At 37.8% G+C, this 20,253-nt stretch overlaps 1 long non-coding RNA gene across 2 annotated transcripts; it reads left to right on the top strand.

Moving 5' to 3' along the window:
- Positions 1–471: 471 nt before the first annotated feature.
- LOC105378813 (uncharacterized) lies at positions 472–19,915 on the top strand. Of its 2 annotated transcripts, none has more exons than XR_947531.2 (2): positions 472–572; positions 19,371–19,915. It is a non-coding gene; the product is annotated as an uncharacterized LOC105378813 (long non-coding RNA). The 2 variants fall into 2 exon arrangements; XR_001738114.1 differs by having other exon boundaries at positions 472–878.
- Positions 19,916–20,253: the final 338 nt, after the last annotated feature.

Genomic DNA, 20,253 nt, shown 5'->3' with positions numbered 1-20,253 from the left:
CAGGGATTGTAAACGCACCCATCAGCGCCCTGAAAAAACAGGCCACTCGGCTCTACCAATCAGCAGGATGTGGGTGGGGCCAGATAAGAGAATAAAAGCAGGCTGCCCGAGCCAGCATTGGCAATCCCCTCGGGTCCCCTTCCACACTGTGGAAGCTTTGTTCTTTCGCTCTTAGCAATAAATCTTGCTACTGCTCACTCTTTGGGTCCATGCTACTTTTATGAGCTGTAACACTCACCGCGAAGATCTGCAGCTTCACTCCTGAGCCCAGCGAGACCACGAGCCCACGGGGAGGAATGAACAAGTCCAGACGCGCTGCCTTAAGAGCTGTAACACTCACCGCGAAAGTCTGCAGCTTCACTCCTGAGCCAGCGAGACCACGAACCCACCAGAAGGAAGCAACTCCGAACACATCTGAACATCAGAAGGGACAGACTCCAGACGCGCCACCTTAAGAGCTGTAACACTCACCGCGAGGGTCTGCGGCTTCATTCTTGAAGTCAGTGAGAGCAAGAACCCACCAATTCCAGACACAATAGTATCCACAGTGTGTAAAACAGTGAAGGCATATGGTAAGAGCATAATATATATTGTATACTTCATACTCAATGAATGAGATTTGTAAGTCTGCACTTCTTTGCCTTGCTATTTCATGCAAGAAGCAATATGAAAAAGAAAGCCTAAAAAGAAGTTTGTTCTGCATAAGACTTTTGCCACCTTTTCAACAACCATGCAAAAAATGGATGGCAGGCCCTGTAGAACTGATCTTTTTAAGGCGCACTTACAACTGAAAGGTCAGCCTTCATTATGTTTCCAGCATATCTGTGTACTTAATAAGAGAACAGTTAGCTACAAGAGCAACAACTAAGAAAAAAATGGTAAGAATACTTTGACATTTAACAAACCTGTTTTTAGAATTGTTGATAATTTATGTTTCTCTTCATTGGAGAACAAATTCTTAAGGGAGATTTAATAATTAAAAAATGTGAGGCCGGGCGCGGTGGCTTACGCCTGTAATCCCAGCACTTTGGGAGGCCGAGGCGGGCGGATCACGAGGTCAGGAGATCGAGACCATCCTGGCTAACACGGTGAAACCCCGTCTCTACTAAAAATACAAAAAAAATTAGCCGGGCGTGATGGTGGGCGCCTGTAGTCCCAGCTACTCGGGAGGCTGAGGCAGGAGAATGGCGTGAACCCGGGAGGCGGAGCTTGCAGTGAGCCGAGATTGCGCCACTGCACTCCCGCCTGGGCCACAGAGGGAGACTCCGTCTCAAAAAAAAAAAAAAAAAAAAAAAAAAAAAAAGTGAAAATGGGTATGATTAGTAAATACAATCATGGATTCTTTTCTAATCTCCATTTTCTCTCTTTAAGATTTGCATGCCAAATTAATTACTTTATAAGCCCAATGAAGGAAGATTGTTTGGTTATAATAGTTTAGGTATATTTTTCCCCCCAAGGAGAGAAAACAGTTGAAATAATTATTCTATGTTACTACGACTAAATATTTTTGTATTCATCTTAGAGAAGTAAGTTACCGCTTGTCAGTGGAGGTACTGTGAACAATGGCATATAGTTAAATCTCACTTCAAGGTACATTGTCCCCAGTGTCCTGAAACATTCATTTTTGAATAGCTGAGGAGCAAGGACATTATTGATCACAAATAAGACTAAAGAGTGCATACAAATATGACCCTTAACTTTTGTAAATATCAAAGTTTAGGTTTGGATAGACAAAATAGAGTCCAAAATTGATACTGACTAATGAATGCAGTCAATACGGACATTGCAGTTTACCTTAGAACATTTGATTTATTCTAAAGCAAATTTTCAAATCTCTTTGCTATATTCCTTGTTTCCAAAATGACAATAATAAAATAATAAATATAATTTTGATCTATTTAGAAGGTAGTATATTTGTATAACTTTGGAGTAACAAAAGAAAAATAGATAAAAAGATTTATAGAACAAAACTGAAAAAAAAAATGCAAAAGTGGAGGCAGGTGATGAATTCATTTATTAACTAAAGGTGAAGTAGACGTTACATGGATTTTAAAGAAAAGCCATGCTTGAAAATCTGCCTCTTTATACATATTTGTAAATGTGTGAATTTTTACTTATGTATCAGAATATGCACATAGATAAATGTTCTTAATTTTAGAGCAACACAAAAGCTGGAAGTTCCTACCTATCTTCCCTGTCACACACACACACACAAATCCCCAAACAACAAATAGAGAACAACATTTTGTCCAAAATAACTAAAGGAGAGCACAGGGGAACAGCAAAGGAGTAGCAGAAAGCCTGCCGAGCACAGAAATCCAGGATGGCTGTATAGGAAAGGGGAAAAATCCACTTTGCCTCTGCCACCCCTTCCCCCAGTTGGGATCAGCTTGGAACTAGGAGAAATTTCTCCCTATGGGAAAAGATAAATAAGAGGAACCCAGCAGCCTCCATCACTACTGTGGACACTTGCTATCTTCACCTCACTATACTTCACTATAGGAGACTTCTGCAGTCCTCACAGGCTCTGAGCCCAGCTGAAGGACTTCCCGAGAGTCCACACATTGTGCTATCCCCAGAGAAGTAGCTTACGCTATACCCCATCAACCTATGGCCTGAGATGCTGTCCTGGAGCTGGAACCATTGCTAGAGCATGTCCTGCTCTGGGGTAAAGTAGATTTTACACCTCTAAGGGTGCACCCCTGAGGCTTTGTCACCATGGCACCATGCCCCCCTGGTAGTGTGCCATCCCTGAGCCATGCTGAGGCTATGCCCTACTCTCTGGGTCCAAGCACTGCAAAGCGTTCCATCTTCCTATTCCTTGCTGATGTGCCCTGCCCCCTGGGGTTCAAGCTGAATTGGCAACCTGCCTCCTTGGGGTCCTGAGCCTTGACAACATTGGAACAGTTGTGTCCCGGGTGCTGAAACCAACACAGTGTCACACCCCCCAGGGACTTCAGGCTTCTGGCACACCAGAGCAGTCATGCCCTCTAGTGCTTGAGTTGACCCAGCACTCTGTCCCTTGGGAGACTCTAGACCTTGGAACATGGGAACAGTCATCCCCTTGTTATCACAGCCAACATGGTGTCTCATCCTCTATTACCTCACACCCCTGGTACACCAGAATAGTCACACTCCTGGTGCTCAAGTCATCATGGCACACTACCTCCTGTGGAATTGGAGCCTCAACTGACCTGTGTAGCCGTGCTTTCTGGGGCTGAGCAGATGTGGCACCTGATGTCAAAGGGAATGAAAGCCTTGGCTGAGCTGAGCCATTCTGCCCTCCAGGCTGATCAGTCAAAGTTACTCACCTTCCTGGAACTGGACCAGCCCTGCACAGAGTCTGAGCTGATGAGGTGCTTCACATTCCTGGGAAGTAGAGTCATCTCTGTGTGGCTCCCTGTCCCCCAAGGTGCAAGCCACACATGCAGCTTGCCATTCCTGAGTTCTTGTTGCTGCTGTTCAGGCCTCACAAATCCTGGGCTACTGCCCTGCCCCATCATCCCAGGGCCAGAGTCACAGTTGCATGATAATTTATCTGCCGGGGCCTGAACTGATGCTATACCCTGTTGATTCTGGGTCCTACATTGCAGCTGCACTGTTACGGTTTAAATGCATCCCCTCTAAATTCATGTGGTAGAAACTTAAATCCTGATACAACAGTGTTTAGAGGTCAGGGTCTAATGGAAGGTGTTTAGGTTATAATTAGATTATTCATACAGATATAAAAAGAACTTGTGGGAGTGGGTTCTCTCTTTTCTGCCCTTCTGACACCTGAGGACTCAGCTTCATCCTTTCTTCCCTTTCTGTCTTTTGCCACGAGAGGACATAGTAAGAAGGTCCACATCAGATGCTAGTGTCTTGATCTTAAACTTCCCAGCTTCCAGAACTGTGAGAGAATAAATTTTTGTACTGTCTGTGGTTTTAGGTTATAGCAACACAAAATGAACTAAGACATGTGCCATGCTCCCCAGGCCCTGAGCTTTCAGAGCACCCCTTCTTGGAGCCATGCCAGTGTCCTGGCCCACAGAGTCAGAGCCACAGCTAAATCCCTGCTCCCTGGGCCTGAGCTGTTGAGCAACAGAGGTTTGTGGGATAAATGAATCCAATTATGCCATGAAGAGTAAACATGAACCTCAAGTCCCAGGTGCTATAGTAGTTTTGCAAGACTCTGAGCCCGGGACCATGACTCCACAACTGCTCTGAGCACTTGTGCCCTGGATCCCAGAACTGCTGCAGCTGCTGGTGGGACATGTCGGACCCAACATCTAGAGTGATTCTCTCAGATAAGACTCCTCAATGTTGGGAAGACAAGAAAAGGAGGGTCCCTAAATCCCTTGCCACCAGAAACCTAATAACCTATACTGCCATCACTACTTTCACAAACTCATACAGTCTAGACCACTGAGGCACCTGCAGTTATTGCTGACATTGGTCACAACCAAAAAAGCTGCATGGAGACTATACCATTGTGCTCATTCCCAAACCAAAGGCCACGTACCCTCTTCAGCTAGCAGCTTTAGTCACATCTGCAGGTGAAAATCTTCCCCTACAAAAGCTATTCTGTACAGTTTCGAAGTTGTGCCTGCTCCACCAGATGCGCAATCAATATAGGGACACACACAAAAACATGAAAAAGTCAGAAAACATGACACCACTGAAGGAACACAATAATTTTCCAGTAATTGATCCCAAAGAAACAGAAATCTATGAATTGTCTGAAGAAAACTGAAAATAATGATCTTAAGGAAACTCAGTGTGATATAGGAGAATACAGAGAGACATTTCAATGAAATTAGAAAAATAATTTATAATCTAAATGAGAAATTCGGAGAACAGATAGATATAAAAAAGAATATGACAGAAATCTTGCATTTGAATAGGTCAATCAATAAGCTAAAAAAATGCAATGGAGAGCTTCAACAGCTGACCAGATTAAGCAGAAGTAAGAATCAGTGAACTTGAAGACAGGGTTTTTTTGTTTGTTTGTTTGTTTTTAAATCTTGCTCTATTGCATAGGCTGGAGTGTAGTGTTTCTTACTCTTGGCTCACTGCAACCTCTGCCTCCCAGGTTCAAGTGATTCTCCTGCCTCAGCACCCGAGTAGCTGGGATTACAGGCATGTACCACTACGCATGGCTAATTTTTCTATTTCTAATAGAGAGGGGGTTTCACCATATAGGCCAGGCTGGTCTCGAACTCCTGGCCTCAAGTGATCTGCTTGCTTTGGCCTCCCAAAGTGCTGAGATTACAGGCATGAACTACTGTGCCCAAAGGCAGGTCTTTTTAAATGACTCAGTTGGAGGAAAAAAAAAGAAGGAAAAAGAGTAAAGACAACCTATGCAGCTTATGAGACACCATTAAGCAAACAAATATTTGTATTATTGGAGTTCCAAAAGGAGAAAAGACACTGAAAGGGACATAAACATATATAATGAAATAATTTTTGAAAAAATTCCCATGTATTGGAAGATATATGGACATCAAAATCCATGAAGTTTAAAGGTCCCCAAAGAGATTCAACCCAAGAAAAATTCTCCAAGGCACATTATAATCAAACCGTAAAAAGTTAAAGTCAGAGAAATAATTTTAAATCAGCAAGAGAGAAATGTCAGGTCACATATAAGGGAATTCTTATTAGACTATTAGCAGATTTCTCAGCAGAAACCTTGCAAACCAGGAGAGAATGGGATGATACATTCAAAGTGCTGAAAGAAAAATATTGCTAGTCAATAATAATATACTTAGCAAAACTGTTCTTCGGAAATGAAGAAGAAATAAAGTCTTTTTGAGACAAGCAAAAAGCTGAGGGAATTCATCACCACTAGGTCTACCTTACATGAACTACTTAAGGGAGTTCTTTGAGCAGAAATGAAAGGATAAGAATTATTACTCTGAATTAATATGAAAGTGCAAAATGCACTGGTAGAGGTAAATACAAAGTCATATCTAGCATACTCCAATATTGTAATAGCAGTGTTTAAATCATACATACTTCCAGTATGGAAGACTTGTAAGTTAAATGGTCAAAAATGATGAAAGTCATAATAAGTTTTTAAGGAATACACACTATAAGATGTAAATCGTGATATCAAAAACATAAATGGGGAGGGGTGAATAAAAGCCTAGAGTTTTTGTATGGAACAGAAGTTAAGCTGGTATCAGCATCAAGTAGTTGATTATAAGTATAAGATGTTTTACGTGAGCCAAATGGTAGCAACAAAACAAAAAACTACAGCAGATATACAAATAATAAAACAAGGTATCAAAGCTTAGCACTACAGAATATTATCAAGTCACAAAGGCAGAAAACAAGAGAAAAAGAAAGGAACAAAGGAATATCAAAACAACCAGAAAACAAATAACAACATGGCAGCAGTAAGTCCTCCTTATGTATTGATAATAACCTTAAATATAATTGGATTAAATTTTTCAGCTAAAAGACACTGAGTGACAGAATGGATACAAAAACAAGGTTCAACTATATACTGACTATAAGAGACCCAGCCTACCTTTAAGGATACAGGCTGAATAGAAGAAGATATTCCATGCATTTGGTAACCAAAAGAGATCAGGGTAGCTCGACTTACATCTGATAAAACAGACTTTAAGTCAAAAACTGTTAGAAGAGACAAAAAAAGTTTTATTTAATGATAAAGGGGTCAATTCATCAAGAGTACATAACAATTGTAAATATATCTGTAGCCTACGTGGGAGCACCTAAATACATAAAGCAAATATTAGTGGACATGAGAAATAGATAGCAATATAATAATAGTAAGGGGAATTAAGTACTCTACTTTCAACAATTAAAAGACCAATCAGACAGAAAAATTAATAAGAAAATACAGAACTTGTATTGCACTTTAGACCAAATTGACCTAAACAGACATATACAGAATTTTTCATCCCAAAGCAGCAGAATGCACATTTTTCTCTAGTACATATGGAACATTCTCCAGGATAAACCAACTGTTAGGCCACAAAACAAGTCAATAAATTTAAGAAGATTGAAATCATATCGATTCAGGCCACAGTGTTATGAAACTCAAAATCAATAACAGGAAGAGTTGGAGAAAATTCACAAATATGTGGAAATTCAGTAACATGCTTCTGTGAACAACCAATGGGTTAAAGAAGAAATCAATATGGTACATCATATCAACAGAATGAAGGGAAAAAACCATGTGATCATTTCAATTGATGCTGAAAAATCATCTCGTAAAATTCAGCATCCCTCCATGATAAAAACCCTCAAAAAACTGGGTGTAGAATAAATATACTTCAACATAATAAAAGCCATATATGACAGACTCACAGTTAGTGTTTTACCAAATGCCAAAAAACTGAAAGCCTTTCCTCTTAGCTCTGGAATGCAACAAGGATGCCCGCTTTCACCACTGTTATTCAACATAGTACTAAAAGTCCTAGCTAGAGCAATTGCACAAGAGAAAGAAATGAAGGTCATCCAAATTGGAAAGGAAGAAGACAAATTATCCTTGTTTGCACATGATATGGTCTTATATTTGGAGAAACCTGAAGACTTCAACAAAAACTTTTTGAATTGGCAAACAAATTTAGTAAAGTTGCAGGACACAAAATCAACATACAATAATCAGCGGCATTTCTATATGCCAACAGCGAACAATCTAAAAAAATAAATTAAAAAAGTATTCCCAGGCCAGGCGTGGTAGCCCATGCCTGGAATCCCAGCATGTTGGGAGGCTAAGGAGTGTGGATCACTTGAGGTCAAGAGTTCAAGACCAGTCTGGCCAACATGGTGAAACCCTATCTCTACCAAAAAATACAAAAGTTAGCTGAGTATGGTGGTGTGGGCCTGTACTCTCAGCTACTCAGGAGGCTGAGGCAGGAGAATCCCTTGAACCAGGAAGGTAGAGGTTGCAGCAGTGAGCCGAGAACACACCACTGCACTTCAGCCTGGGCGACAAAGTGAGACCCTGTCTCACACACACAGACACACACACACACACACACACAAGTAAAAGAAAAGAAAATAATCCCATTTACAGTAGCTGCAAGTAAAATTAAATACTTAGGAATTAACGTAGCCAAAGAAGTGAAAGATCTCCATAATGAAAACTATAAAATACTAATGAAAGAAACTGAAGAGGACACAAAATATTTGAAAGATACTCCACATTCTTTCACTGAAAAAATTAATATTGTTATCCCTATCAAAATGCCAATGACATTCTTTACAGAAACAGGAAAAACAATGCTAAAATGTATATGGATCCACAAAGGACCCAGAATAGCCAAAGCTATCCTGAGAAAAAAGAACAAAATTGGAGGAATCGCATTACCTGACTTCAAATTATATGACAGCACTATAGTAACTAAAACAGCATGGTACTGGCATAAAAACAGACTCACGGACCAATGGAGCAGACAACCCAGAAATAAATACATATATCTACAGTGAATTTATTTGCAACACAAGTGCTGAGAACGTACACTCTGGAAAAGACAGTCTCTTCAATAAGTGGTGCAGAGAAAACTGGATATTCGTATGTAGAAGAACAAAAGTAGGCTCTTATCTCCCACCATACACAAAAATCAAATTGGTATGGATTAAAGACTTAAATCTAAGACTATGAAACTACTACAAGACAGCATCAGAGATACTCTCCAGGACACTGGTTTGGGCAAGAGGATACAAAGTAGAAGATATATAGAATGAACATAGTGCTAATGTACAATATGAGGACTATAGGCAATGACTGTATTGAGATTCCTACAAAAGACTAGATTTTAACTTTACAACAAGAAACCATAAAATGGATAACCATGTGGGCAGATGGATATGTTCATTTGCCTCACTATAGTAACAATTTTACTATTTATATGTATCCTTTAGTATCAAGTTGTACACCTCAAGTGTACACAATAAAATTTGTTTAAAAATAGAAAAAAACCCTAAACAAATCCACACTAACCAATGTACACTTCCTAATCATATGACTATAAAGCAATGGAAGAGTGAAGAGATATTTTAAAATTTTGATTTATATTCAAACGCTTGATGTCTTTTAGGCCCTGGGAATGTGCTGATTTTCTAGCCACCTAAACTATGTATATTTGAGACAGGGTCTCTCTCTGTTGCCAAGGCTGGAGTGAAATGGCACAACCATAGCTTACTGCAGCCTCAACCTCCTAGACTCAGCACAGTCCTCTTAGCTCAGCCTCCCAAGTAGCTAGGAATAGAAGTATGCACCACCACATCCAGCTATTTTTGAAAACTTTTTTTTTTTATAGAGATGGGGTCTTGTTTTGTTATCCAGGCTGGTCTTAAACTCCTGGGCTCAAGTGATTTTCCCATCTTGACCATCATCCAAAGTGTTGGGATTATAGGCAGGAGCCACCATGCCCAGCCTAAAATATCTTTAATGATTTCCACATGCAATATTCCCACTCTTGTGCCTAAAGTATATGGGACAGTGTCTCCAAATGGTGAGCTGCAGTACCAATGAAGAGGTAGGTGAGTGATTTCTGAAAGCTACTCTGTGGTTGGGTGGTGACTAGGGAAACGAAGAATGTTTCAAAAGACTTAAGTAACATTGCTAAGATTGATGAAGATACTCACTTTATGTTAAGTGATAAATGTATTAGAATATGACAATAAAAATATAATTGTTGAGAGGACACTCAGCCTATATTCTTGATGTTGACAGAAGTACAGTCAAGTGGAAACATCTTGAAATCTATAAACTGGATGTCAAAAAGATCTGAACTCTAAAGCTTATTCATCTACCATGAAAAATGTCCATTATATTACATAGGAGTTACAAAATCTTTTTTAAATAAAAATATGTAATTTGGACAGTCTTTACCATTTAGTTCTCATTTAATATAATATTTTAGAGGATTAAAAGTAGCCACCCAAAAAAGGGGTTAGAGGTAACTTCAATGACTAGTGAACCATGTGATCTGGGTAATAAGGGGAAAATCAGAAAGCTCTGAAATATATACCAGGGAACTCAAAGAGCATGGTATTTTGAACCCTTTTAGTGCATGATCACACAGCCTTATTTATTTCTTTTCTTATACATAAATGTAATTATCTCTTTAAAAATCAGTTATATTTTAAAAATTTTAAGTCCTTTGAGGCAGGGTCTGAATCTTTACAGTTATATCTCACTATGAATGTAGCAACTGACACATAATAGGAGCTCAATGAAGTCCTTGCTATTATCTTTCAAATTCTAGGAAGAATACATTTTCTTTCTTTGTATATCTTTTTATGTAACTATTGACTTCCACATATTTGGAAGCCTGTTCCATGGAAGTCTTTATCAAACTTCCATTAACAATGAAGTATATTGCTAATAAGATACAACATGGCTTACACTCAAGAAATAGTTTCCAACTGAAGATGTGCTGTGTAGCTTGAATGTACAGTAATTTCCTTTTTCAATAGCTTTCTATGTGACCTTGAGCAATTTATTTAATCTCGCTATGAGATAACTTTCCCTTTTGTGAAATGAGAATACTGCCACTTGCCTCCTACCTACTTCACAGAGATAGTATTTCCACACCTAACATAATGGCTAGAAGTCATTTGAAGCTCATTGGAATAAAGCGCCGTTTAATTACAATTGTTATTACTTTTTAGAGAGAGTTAATGATGATGAGAGGAGGAAAATATGCCATCCAAGATATGTATAAATGCATCTAGGCTAGAATCAAAACACACAAGCAAAATGAGAAAAAGAGAATAAAACTAAAATTCCTACTAAAATAAAGCAAACTAAATTATTTCTGCTTTGGAATTACCAAAAACTAATATTTTTTTTTTTCTAAAGCAGCAAAGAGAAAATGATAACATAAAAAAGTTGAGAATAAGAAATAGTTTTTGTTATTTTTATCTGAAAAAGTATAAACAATAAAATAATAGGAAAAATTGGCAAGAATGAAAAGTTTTAATAAGATTTCTAGTTCACTTTTTAGAGACAAGTTCTTGGTTACGTGTTTGTGGCTTATCCACTTGCTGTACTATCTAGGTTAAATCTGCACCCCTGGGCAGATATCTCCCTTGTCTGCATGTTTCTGGGTCAAGTCCCTCTTTCTGTGCCCTCTCCCTGAGGCAGTTTTTATGCCAAGGAATGCAAACCAATTTTAATATTAGCCTAAGGTAAACATAATTAGGAGGGCAAATTTTCTGCCAAAAGAGAGGAACTTACAAAACGCACTTTAAAATCAAATGTAATTTTTGTAAAAAAAATATGCCTTATACTTCTCCAAAATATTATCAACTCAAAGAAGCCCAGGGTTAGGTATCACCCATAAACCATAATCATTTGTCTAGTGAGTAGAGTAGCTTTGAAGAAAAATTTTTAAGTTTCCCCAAACAGTACTTTCTTGTAAAATATTCAACAAACCCCTTCAACTTACCAGTGAGTTGCAAAACCATAGATAAATATATAGAACTCTATAAATACTCCGTATCTATAAGATAAAAATCAGAAAAAAAATGTAGAAAAGGCAAATAGGGAGAATAATTATAATTTAACAGTGGGATGATTTAATGAATAGGGATAGAAAATTGGGCATCGGAAGTGTAGGCATGAGCTACTTGAGGACGAAAACTGTTTGCCTTTTTTATCATTATATTCACTTAACAAATGGAGAAAGGCTCATTAAAATCACTGTAGAATGGAGGGTAGGATAGGATAGGCAAGAACTAATACAAGGCTGAAATCAGTACTATAGTACAAGAAAAAATAAAAAGGAATGGAAGAAAGAAAAAGGTGCAGGTGGATGAGTACTGAAAACCAATGTTATTTAATTTTGTAAAAGGCTGAATTTTAAAAAAAATCCTGTAACTTTCAGGCCCTTGGGATTTTCTTGGTTATTTTCTGCTTTTTTCTATTTTCTAGTCAAACTAGTTTCTATCTGCTGTGTCTCTAATTCATATACTTGTATATATTCTTAGTCCTGAAGCTTAAGCCTAGGAGAGATGAATGATGATTTTCTGATTAGCAACAAAAGGATTACCAATCTAGATGACAGTTGGGATTTTAAAAATATATTTTATTTTTTAATTTTTGTAGGTACATGGTAGATGCTTATATTTATGGGATACATGAGACATTTTGATACAGGCAGGAAACGAGTAATAACCACAACATGACAAATAGGGTATCCATCCTCTGCAGCATTCATTGTTTTTTAATGGCTGAACAGTACTTCATTGTGTGTGTGCGTGTGTATATGTATCTATATATATATCACATTTTCTTTATCTATTCATATGTTGATGGACATTTAGATTGCTTCTAAATCTTGGCTATTGTGAACAGTGGGGCAACAAACATGGGAGTGCAGGTATTCCTTTGCTATACTGCTTTCCTTTCTGGGGTATATAACCGGCAGTGGGATTGCTGGATCATAAGCTACCTCTGTTTTTAGTTTTTTGAGGAACCTCCAAACTGTTATCTATAGTGGTTGTACTAATTTACATTCCCACCAACAGTGTAGAAGCATTCTCTTTTCTCTACCTCCTTGCCAGCATTTGTTATTGCCTGTCTTTTGAATATAAGCCATTTAATTGGGGTGAGATGGTATCTCGTAGTTTTGATTTGCATTTCTCTGATGATCAATTATGTTGAGCACTTATTCATATGCCTGTTTGCTGTTTGTACGTATTCTTTTGAGCAATGTCTATTCAGATCTTTTGCCTATTTTTAATTGGATTATTAGATTTTTTCCTATATAATTGTTAGGAACTCCTTATATATTCTGATTACAAATCCCTTGTCAGATGGGTAATTTGCAAGTATTTTCTCCCACTCTGTGGGTTGTCTCATCACTTTGTTGATTGTTTCCTTTGCTGTGCAGAAGCTTTCTAACTTGATGTGATTCCATTTGTCCATTTTTACTTTGGTTGCTTGTGCTCTTGGGGTATTCTTAAAAAATTTTTTTGCCCAGAATAATGTCCTGGAGGATTTCACACATGTTTTCTTGTAGTAGTTTCATAGTTAGAGGTCTTAGGTTTAAGTCTTTAATCTATTTTGATTTGATTTTGTATATGGCAATTGATGGGGTCTACTTTTGTTCTTCTGCATATGAATATCCAGTTTTCTCAGCACCATTTATTGAAGAGACTGTCTTTTCCCCAGTGTATGTTCTTGGCACTTGTGTTGAAAATAAGTTCACTGTAGATGTATGCATTTGTTTCTGGGTTGTCTGTTCCATTGGTCTGTGAGTCTGTTTTTATGCCAGTACCATACTGTTTTGGTTACTATAGTGCTGTAGTATAATTTGAAGTCAGGTAATGCGATTCCTCCAGTTTTGTTCTTTTTTGCTCAGGATAGCTTTATCTAGTCTGTGTCTTTTGTGGTTCCATATACATTTTAGGATTGTTTTCCCTGTTTCCGTGAAGAATGTCCCTGACGTTTTGATAGGGATTGCCCTGAATCTGTAGGTTGCTCTGGGTAGTATGAACATTTTAACAATATTGACTCATTCAATGAATGAACATGGAATATCTTTTCAATGTTTTATGTCCTCTTCAATTTCTTTCATTAGTGTTTTACAGTTGTCCTTATAGAGATTTTTCACTGCTTCGGTCAAGTTAATTCCTAGGTATTTAATTTTACTTGTGGCTATTGTAAATGGGATTACATTTTGATTTCTTTTTCAGATTGTTGACTGTTGGCATAAGAAATGCTACTGATTATTGTATGTTGACTTTGTGTCCTGCAACTTTACTGAATTTGTTTGCTGGTTCAAATAGTTTTTTGTTGAAGCCATCAGGTTTTTCCAAATACAAGATTATATTATGTGCAAACAAGGATAATATGTCTTCTTCTTTTTCAATTTGGATGCCCTTTATTTCTTTCTCTTGTGCGATTGCTCTAGCTAGAACTTCTAGTACTATATTGAAGTACTTGTAGTGTTCCAGAGCTAAGAGGAAAGGCTTTCAGTTTTCCCCCATTTGGTACAATACTACCTGTGAGTCTGTCATATATGACTTTTATTATGTTGAAGTATGTTCCTTTTATACCCAGTTTCATGAAGGAATGCTGAATTTCATCAAATAATTTTTTCAGCATCAATTGAAAATATCATATGATTTTTATTCTTCATTCTGCCGATATGATGTATCACACTGATTGATTTGCATATGTTGAAACATCCTTACATTGCTGGGATAAATCTCACTTGGTTATGATGAAGGATCTTTTTAATATGTTGTTGAATTTGGTTTGCTAGTAATTAGTTGAGGATTTTTGAATCAATATTCACCAGAGATTTTGGCATGTAATTTATTTATTTTTATTTTTTTGACATGTCTTTGTCTGATTCTGGTATTAGGGTAATACTGGCCTTATAGAACGAATTTGGAAGTATATTCTCCCTTCCATTGTTTGAAATAATCTGAGTAGGATTGGTATTAGTTCTTTAAATGTGTGGTAGATTTCAGCAGTAAAGCCACCAGGTCCCAGGCTTTTCTTGACTGGGAGAGTTTTATTATGGCTTTGATCTTATTACTTATTACTGGTCTGCTTAGGTTTTGGATTTCTTCATGTTTCAGTCTTGGTAAGTTGTTTGTGTCTAGAAGTTTCTCCATTTCCTCTAGATTTTTCAGATTACTGGCATATAGTTGCTGACAGTAAACACTAATGATCCTTTGAATTTCTGCAGTGTCAGTTATAATGTCTCCATTATCACTTCTGATTTTATTTATTTGGGTCTTCTGTTTTTTTCTTATTCTGGCTAGTGGTTTTTCAATTTAATTTATCTTTTCTCAAAAGTTAACTGTTCATTTCATTGATCTTTTGTATTTTTTTCTTTCTTCAATTTCAATTATTTCTCCTCTAATCTTTATTTTCTTTTCTTCTACTAATTTTGAGTTTGGTTTGCTCTTGCTTCACTAGTTCATTAAGATGCATCATTCGGTTATTTCTTTTAAGTTTTCCTTCTTTTTTGATATAGGCAGTAATAGGTCTAAATTTCCCTCTTAGCACTGCTTTTGCTGTATCCCATAGGTTTTGGTATGTTATGTTTCCATTATCATTTGTTTCAAAAATTTTATCAATTTTCTTTTTAATTTTTTCATTGACCCAATGGTCATCTAGGAGCATGTTTTTTAATTTCCATGGTTTGTATAGTTTCTGAAATTCTTCCTGTTATTGGTTTTTGGTTTTATTCCATTGTGGTAAGAGAAGATGGTTGATATTAACTCAATTTTTTTTTGGAATGTTTTAACACTTGTTTTGCTACCTAACATATGATCTCTCCTTGAGAGTGATCTATGTGCTGAAGAGAAGAATGTGCATTCTGCAGCTGTTGGATTAAATTTTCTGTAAATATCTATTAGGTCCATTTATTTTATAGTGCTAATTGAATTCAATATTTCATCATTAATTTTCTGCCTGGAAGATCTGTCCAATGTTTAAAATGGGGTATAAAATCTCCAGATATTATTAATAATGATATTATTAAAATAATAATATGCACCAGTGTTGGGTGCATATGTTTACAATTGTTATATCATCTTGCTGAATTGACCCCTTTGTCATTATATAACAACCTATTTTTCTCTTCTTACTGTTCTTGTCTTGAAATTTATTTTGTCTGATATAAATTTAGCTACTCCTGATCTTTTTAGGTTTCTGTTGGCATGGAATATCTTTTTCCATCCCTTTGTTTTCATTCTATGTATGTCTTTATAGATGAACTGTGTTTCTGCAACAGATCTTGGGTCTTGTTTTTTAAATCCATTAAGTCAATTTATGTCTTCTGATTAGATTATTACTGATAAGTAAGAACTTACTTTTTCCATTTTGTTATTTGTTTTCTAGTCTTCTCTTCTTTCCTTCCTTCCTATCTTTCTTTTAGTGAGAGTAATTTTCCCTGGTAATATGAGGTAATTTTTCGCTTTTTTGTATCTATTATTCAATTTCAGGTTGTCATGAGTCTTGTAAATACTCTCTTATAATCTATTATTTTAAACTGATGACAACTTAACACTGATCACACAAACAAACAAATATGCAAAAAGAAAACTAAAAAAGCTCTATGCTTTAACTTTTTGCTTTTTAAGTTTTTGTTGTTTCTTTTTATGTCTTATTGTAGTCTATATCTTGAAAAGTTGTAGTTATTATTTTTGATCGGTTCATTATTTAGTCTTTCTACTTAACATAAGAGTAGTTTACATACCACACAGTGTTATATGATATTCTGTGTTTTTCTGTATACTTACTATTACCAGTGAGCTTTGTGCTTTCAGAAAATTGTTTTATTGCTCATTAATCTCCTTTTCTTTCAAATTGACAAAGTCCCGTTGACATTTTTTGTAGGACATACCTGGTGTTGATGAAATGCCTTAGGTTTTGTTTGTCTGAAAAACTATTTCTCCTTTATGCTTGAAGGATATTTTCACTGAATATACTATTTTAGGGTAAAGGATGTTTTACTTCAGCATTTTAGTTATTTATTATTTATTTATTTTTGAGACAGGGTCTCACTCTCTCACCTAGGCTGGAGTGCAGTGGTGCGATCCCAGCACACTGCAGCCTCAACCTCCCAGGTGCTCTTCCCAACCGTGGCTGAGCTGTACCTAGGTGCAATACAAAATCCCCTTTACATTTCCCTCTGCTTTTCTCAAACAGGAGAAATCTTTCACCATAGCCACAACACCTGGGCATGTGCTGGGTATCAAGTGAAGCCAGCACTTCTCGGAATCTTACCCAAGGTCCATGACATACTACCTGGGTATCACGGTTGATTATTCGGGGCCCAAGCACTCTTTAGTCAGCAGGTAATAGATCCTATTAGGACTGGATCCTTCCCTTCAAGGCAGCAGGTTCCCTTCTTGTCCAGGGTGCGTCTAGAAATGTTTAAGAGCTAGTGCCTGGAATGAGGGCCCCTGACTCTTCCCAGTGCCCCATCCTGTTATGGCTGAGCTGGTATCTAAAATGCAAGACAAAGTCATCTTTACTCTTTGCTCTCCTCTTCTCAAGCAGAAGGAAGGAGTCACTTTAATTGCTGTCAGCTATGCTGCCTGGGGTTGGGGAAGGAATGGTACAAACTCTCCTTTAGCTGCCCTGGCTTGTGTCTTCCTAGGTCATGTGCCACCCTCGTCTACTGGCTCTAAGTCCAACCTAGCACTAGGACTTTCCTGGGAATTATAGTCCTTGTGTCCTAGACTGCCTCTCAAGTTTACCTGGGACTCCAGAACACTTTAGCCCATGGTGGTGAGGCTTGCTGAGAAACTCAATTTCCAACATCTGGGATGAGTGATTTCCCTCTGCCTAGGGCTGGTCCTAATGCTCATTCTGTGGGTTGGTGCTAGCTGAGCCCAGTATGGCTTTTTTCTCCGCTGTGACAGGGCAGCACTGAGTTCAATGCCAAGTGCCCGTCGCTGTGCTCTCCTTCCCCCAGGTGCACAGATTCTATGTGCCATGTGGCCACTGCTGGGGGATGGGGAGGGGTGGTGTCAGCAATTCAAGACTGTCTTTCTTACCCTCTTCAGTTCCTCTTTCAGTGATGTGAAGTTAAAACCAGGTAGTTTGATTGCTCACCTTATTATTGGTTCTTATGATGGTGCTTTTTGTGTGTAGTTTTTTGTTAAAATTTGGTGTCCCTGTGGGGAAGATAATCAGTGGAGGCCTCTATTCAGCCACCTTGCTCTGCTCATGGGCAGTTGGAATCTCAGTAAGTGCCTTGCCAAGTAAGAGTGATTCCATTTGTAACCTCTGGGCTGACGTGCCCACCTCTGCCCAATGCCCTGCTAAGCCAGAGGATGCTAGCCTCCTGGGCCAAAAGAAGATGGTAATTCCAAAGCACAAAATGCTCACTGGACAAGGGTAGATAAATTCCACAAATTTTAAACATTTTAAACTTTTCTATCCCACATTTTCCCCTATTGGTGTTGATTTTCTCTTGGTGTAACTAGTTTTAAACATGAATTCCACTAAATGCCATTGGTTAATCTTAAAATATTTATAGTTACAGAGTTGACTTGTTCCCCTTTCCTCAATAACTCTCGTCTCACTTTCTCTGCTAATATAAAACCACATGGCTTTCTGAGGCAACCTGAGAAGAAAGTCAATACTAAAGACTAACTTTATGTTTTACTATTAGAGCTCACAATCCATTTGTTTTCTGGGATAGACAAACTTGGGTGGTTTATAAAGAGTTTGGCCTTGGGGCATGGTGTCTCATGCCTGTAATCCCAGCACTTTGGGAGGCTGAGGCTGGTGGATCCCTTGAGCCCTGGAGTTCGAGACCAGTCTGGGCAACATAATGAAATCCTGTCTCTACAAAAAAGGTACAAAAATTAACCAGGTGTGGTAGCACACACCTGTGATCCCAGCTACTCAAGAAGCTGAGGTAGGAGGATTGCTTGAGCCCAAAAGGGGAAGGTTACAGTAAGCTGAGATTGCACCACTACACTCCAGCCTGGGTGACAGAGTGAGACCCCATCTGAATAAAAAATAAAAAAAAAAAATAAGAGTTTGGCCTAGTGTTCTTTTTAATTAATAGCTTTGATTTTTTTTTTTTAAATCTACCTGTTTTAAAGAAGGGCTAAGGTGTTTCAGTGATTTGAAGTGGCAAAGCTGGAGCCACAGCTTCTAAGTGTACAACACACATTTCTGAGACATAGCCCTTCAAGTAAAGTAGCGCCACAGCATCACAGCTCTGGATCCCATCGCTGGGTGCCTCTTGGAGGAAAAGGGTAAATTGCACAAGCAATTTCTGGGGAAAAAATGGCCCCCACCAACAAATTTTTTTTTTTTTTTTAAAGCAAACTTGCCTGTGGAGGAATTTAATACTGGGCCCTTTGACCTTAGTCTACTGATACAAATGGATCTGCAATGGTAATGGGGATTTTATGGCTATGAGGCATGGAAAAGAAACCAACCTCCAGTGTGAATTGAAGGAAGAAGTTCCATATTTATATGCTCTTTGAAGAAATGAAAAGTCTGTCAACTAGCTGATCTTGCCCACCTATGATTATTAATACCTTTCAAGATTTCTGAGCTTGCCAGTATATTGTTCCCAACATTTCATATTATTTTGTCTCTGTTTATATCTCCCTTGTAGACATATGCACCACTTTAAATAAGAAGCCCTTCCAGAGAGATAGCCTCAAAAGATTCTATTTATGTGTACAAGGCTTGAAATAAGACATATTCTAACCTTTAATTATGAGTTACTGCCTAAGTTTCAAGGAGTATATAAAGGGTGGAAAAGCAATGATTTTTTAAAGATGACAAACTATTGAGGTTAACAGGATTTCTTTGACTTTAAAAGTCATATGCTGAAAGCTCTTGTTAAAAAAAGATTGGCACAGGTGACATTGTCAAGGATAAACAATCATTCTTAAATCCTTTGTTTCAGTCCACAGTGAAACTTAATCCCCGAGGTGTTACTGTCTCTCCATGCCTGCATGTGGATCTCACCATTCCTCTAGTCCTGGTGCTTGCTTTCAACACAGAGCTCTGGACTGCAAGGCATTTGATTTCTGGTAATTAATCAGCTCCTCATACACGCTATGTTTCTCCCCCAGGCCCAGCTCAAGTGAGTGATCCAAATCTGGCTTCAGGAAAAAAGAAAGTGTTTATGCTCTGAGTGCACAGAATGAAACACTGATAAACAGTTCTTGGTAAAACATTGAATCACATGGCATTATTTTTCTTTTCAAGTCATAAGTCATTGTGAAAAAATACACGTAGCAAAAAAACCAAAACCAAAACAAAAGCCAAACAAAAACACGTTGGATGCCCTTTAAACAGAAAGCATTTTGTCCTGCTAGAAAGAGTTATCAGGATTTGCTGGTATTTGTGTATCTGGTGCCTTTTAAAGTGTTTGCCTAGAATGTGAATGTTCATTTTTTAAACATCTTTTTGTTTGACTCTTTATCCACAGTACTTTATCTTATGGTTTCTTGTTTGTCTTGTCTCTGTAATAACTCAGATACTACTAATTTTATCAGTTGTGAAAAATCTGAACTTACATTAGTAGTTATTCATGCCTAGAGACCTGGCAACTTCCATTCCTTTCAATTACTTACCTGTCTGCCTCAACAGCCATTTGTAAAGTCAGGTTTTGTTGTTAGGACTGAGAATAGTCTCATATATTTGTCTTGCAGGTAATTCTGAGCCCCCTTTTTTATATAAATAATGTAGCCCTATAATGGGTTCCCTTTTCTTGCCAATTATTCTGCTCAAAACTGAGATTAATCCATCAATTAGTTGTCAAAAGCATTTCTGAGTTGGCAGTG

This window comes from Homo sapiens, chromosome 1 (genome assembly GCF_000001405.40).
Source record: "Homo sapiens chromosome 1, GRCh38.p14 Primary Assembly".
Lineage (NCBI taxonomy): Eukaryota > Metazoa > Chordata > Mammalia > Primates > Hominidae > Homo > Homo sapiens.
This window is presented reverse-complemented; position numbering and strand designations above follow the sequence as displayed.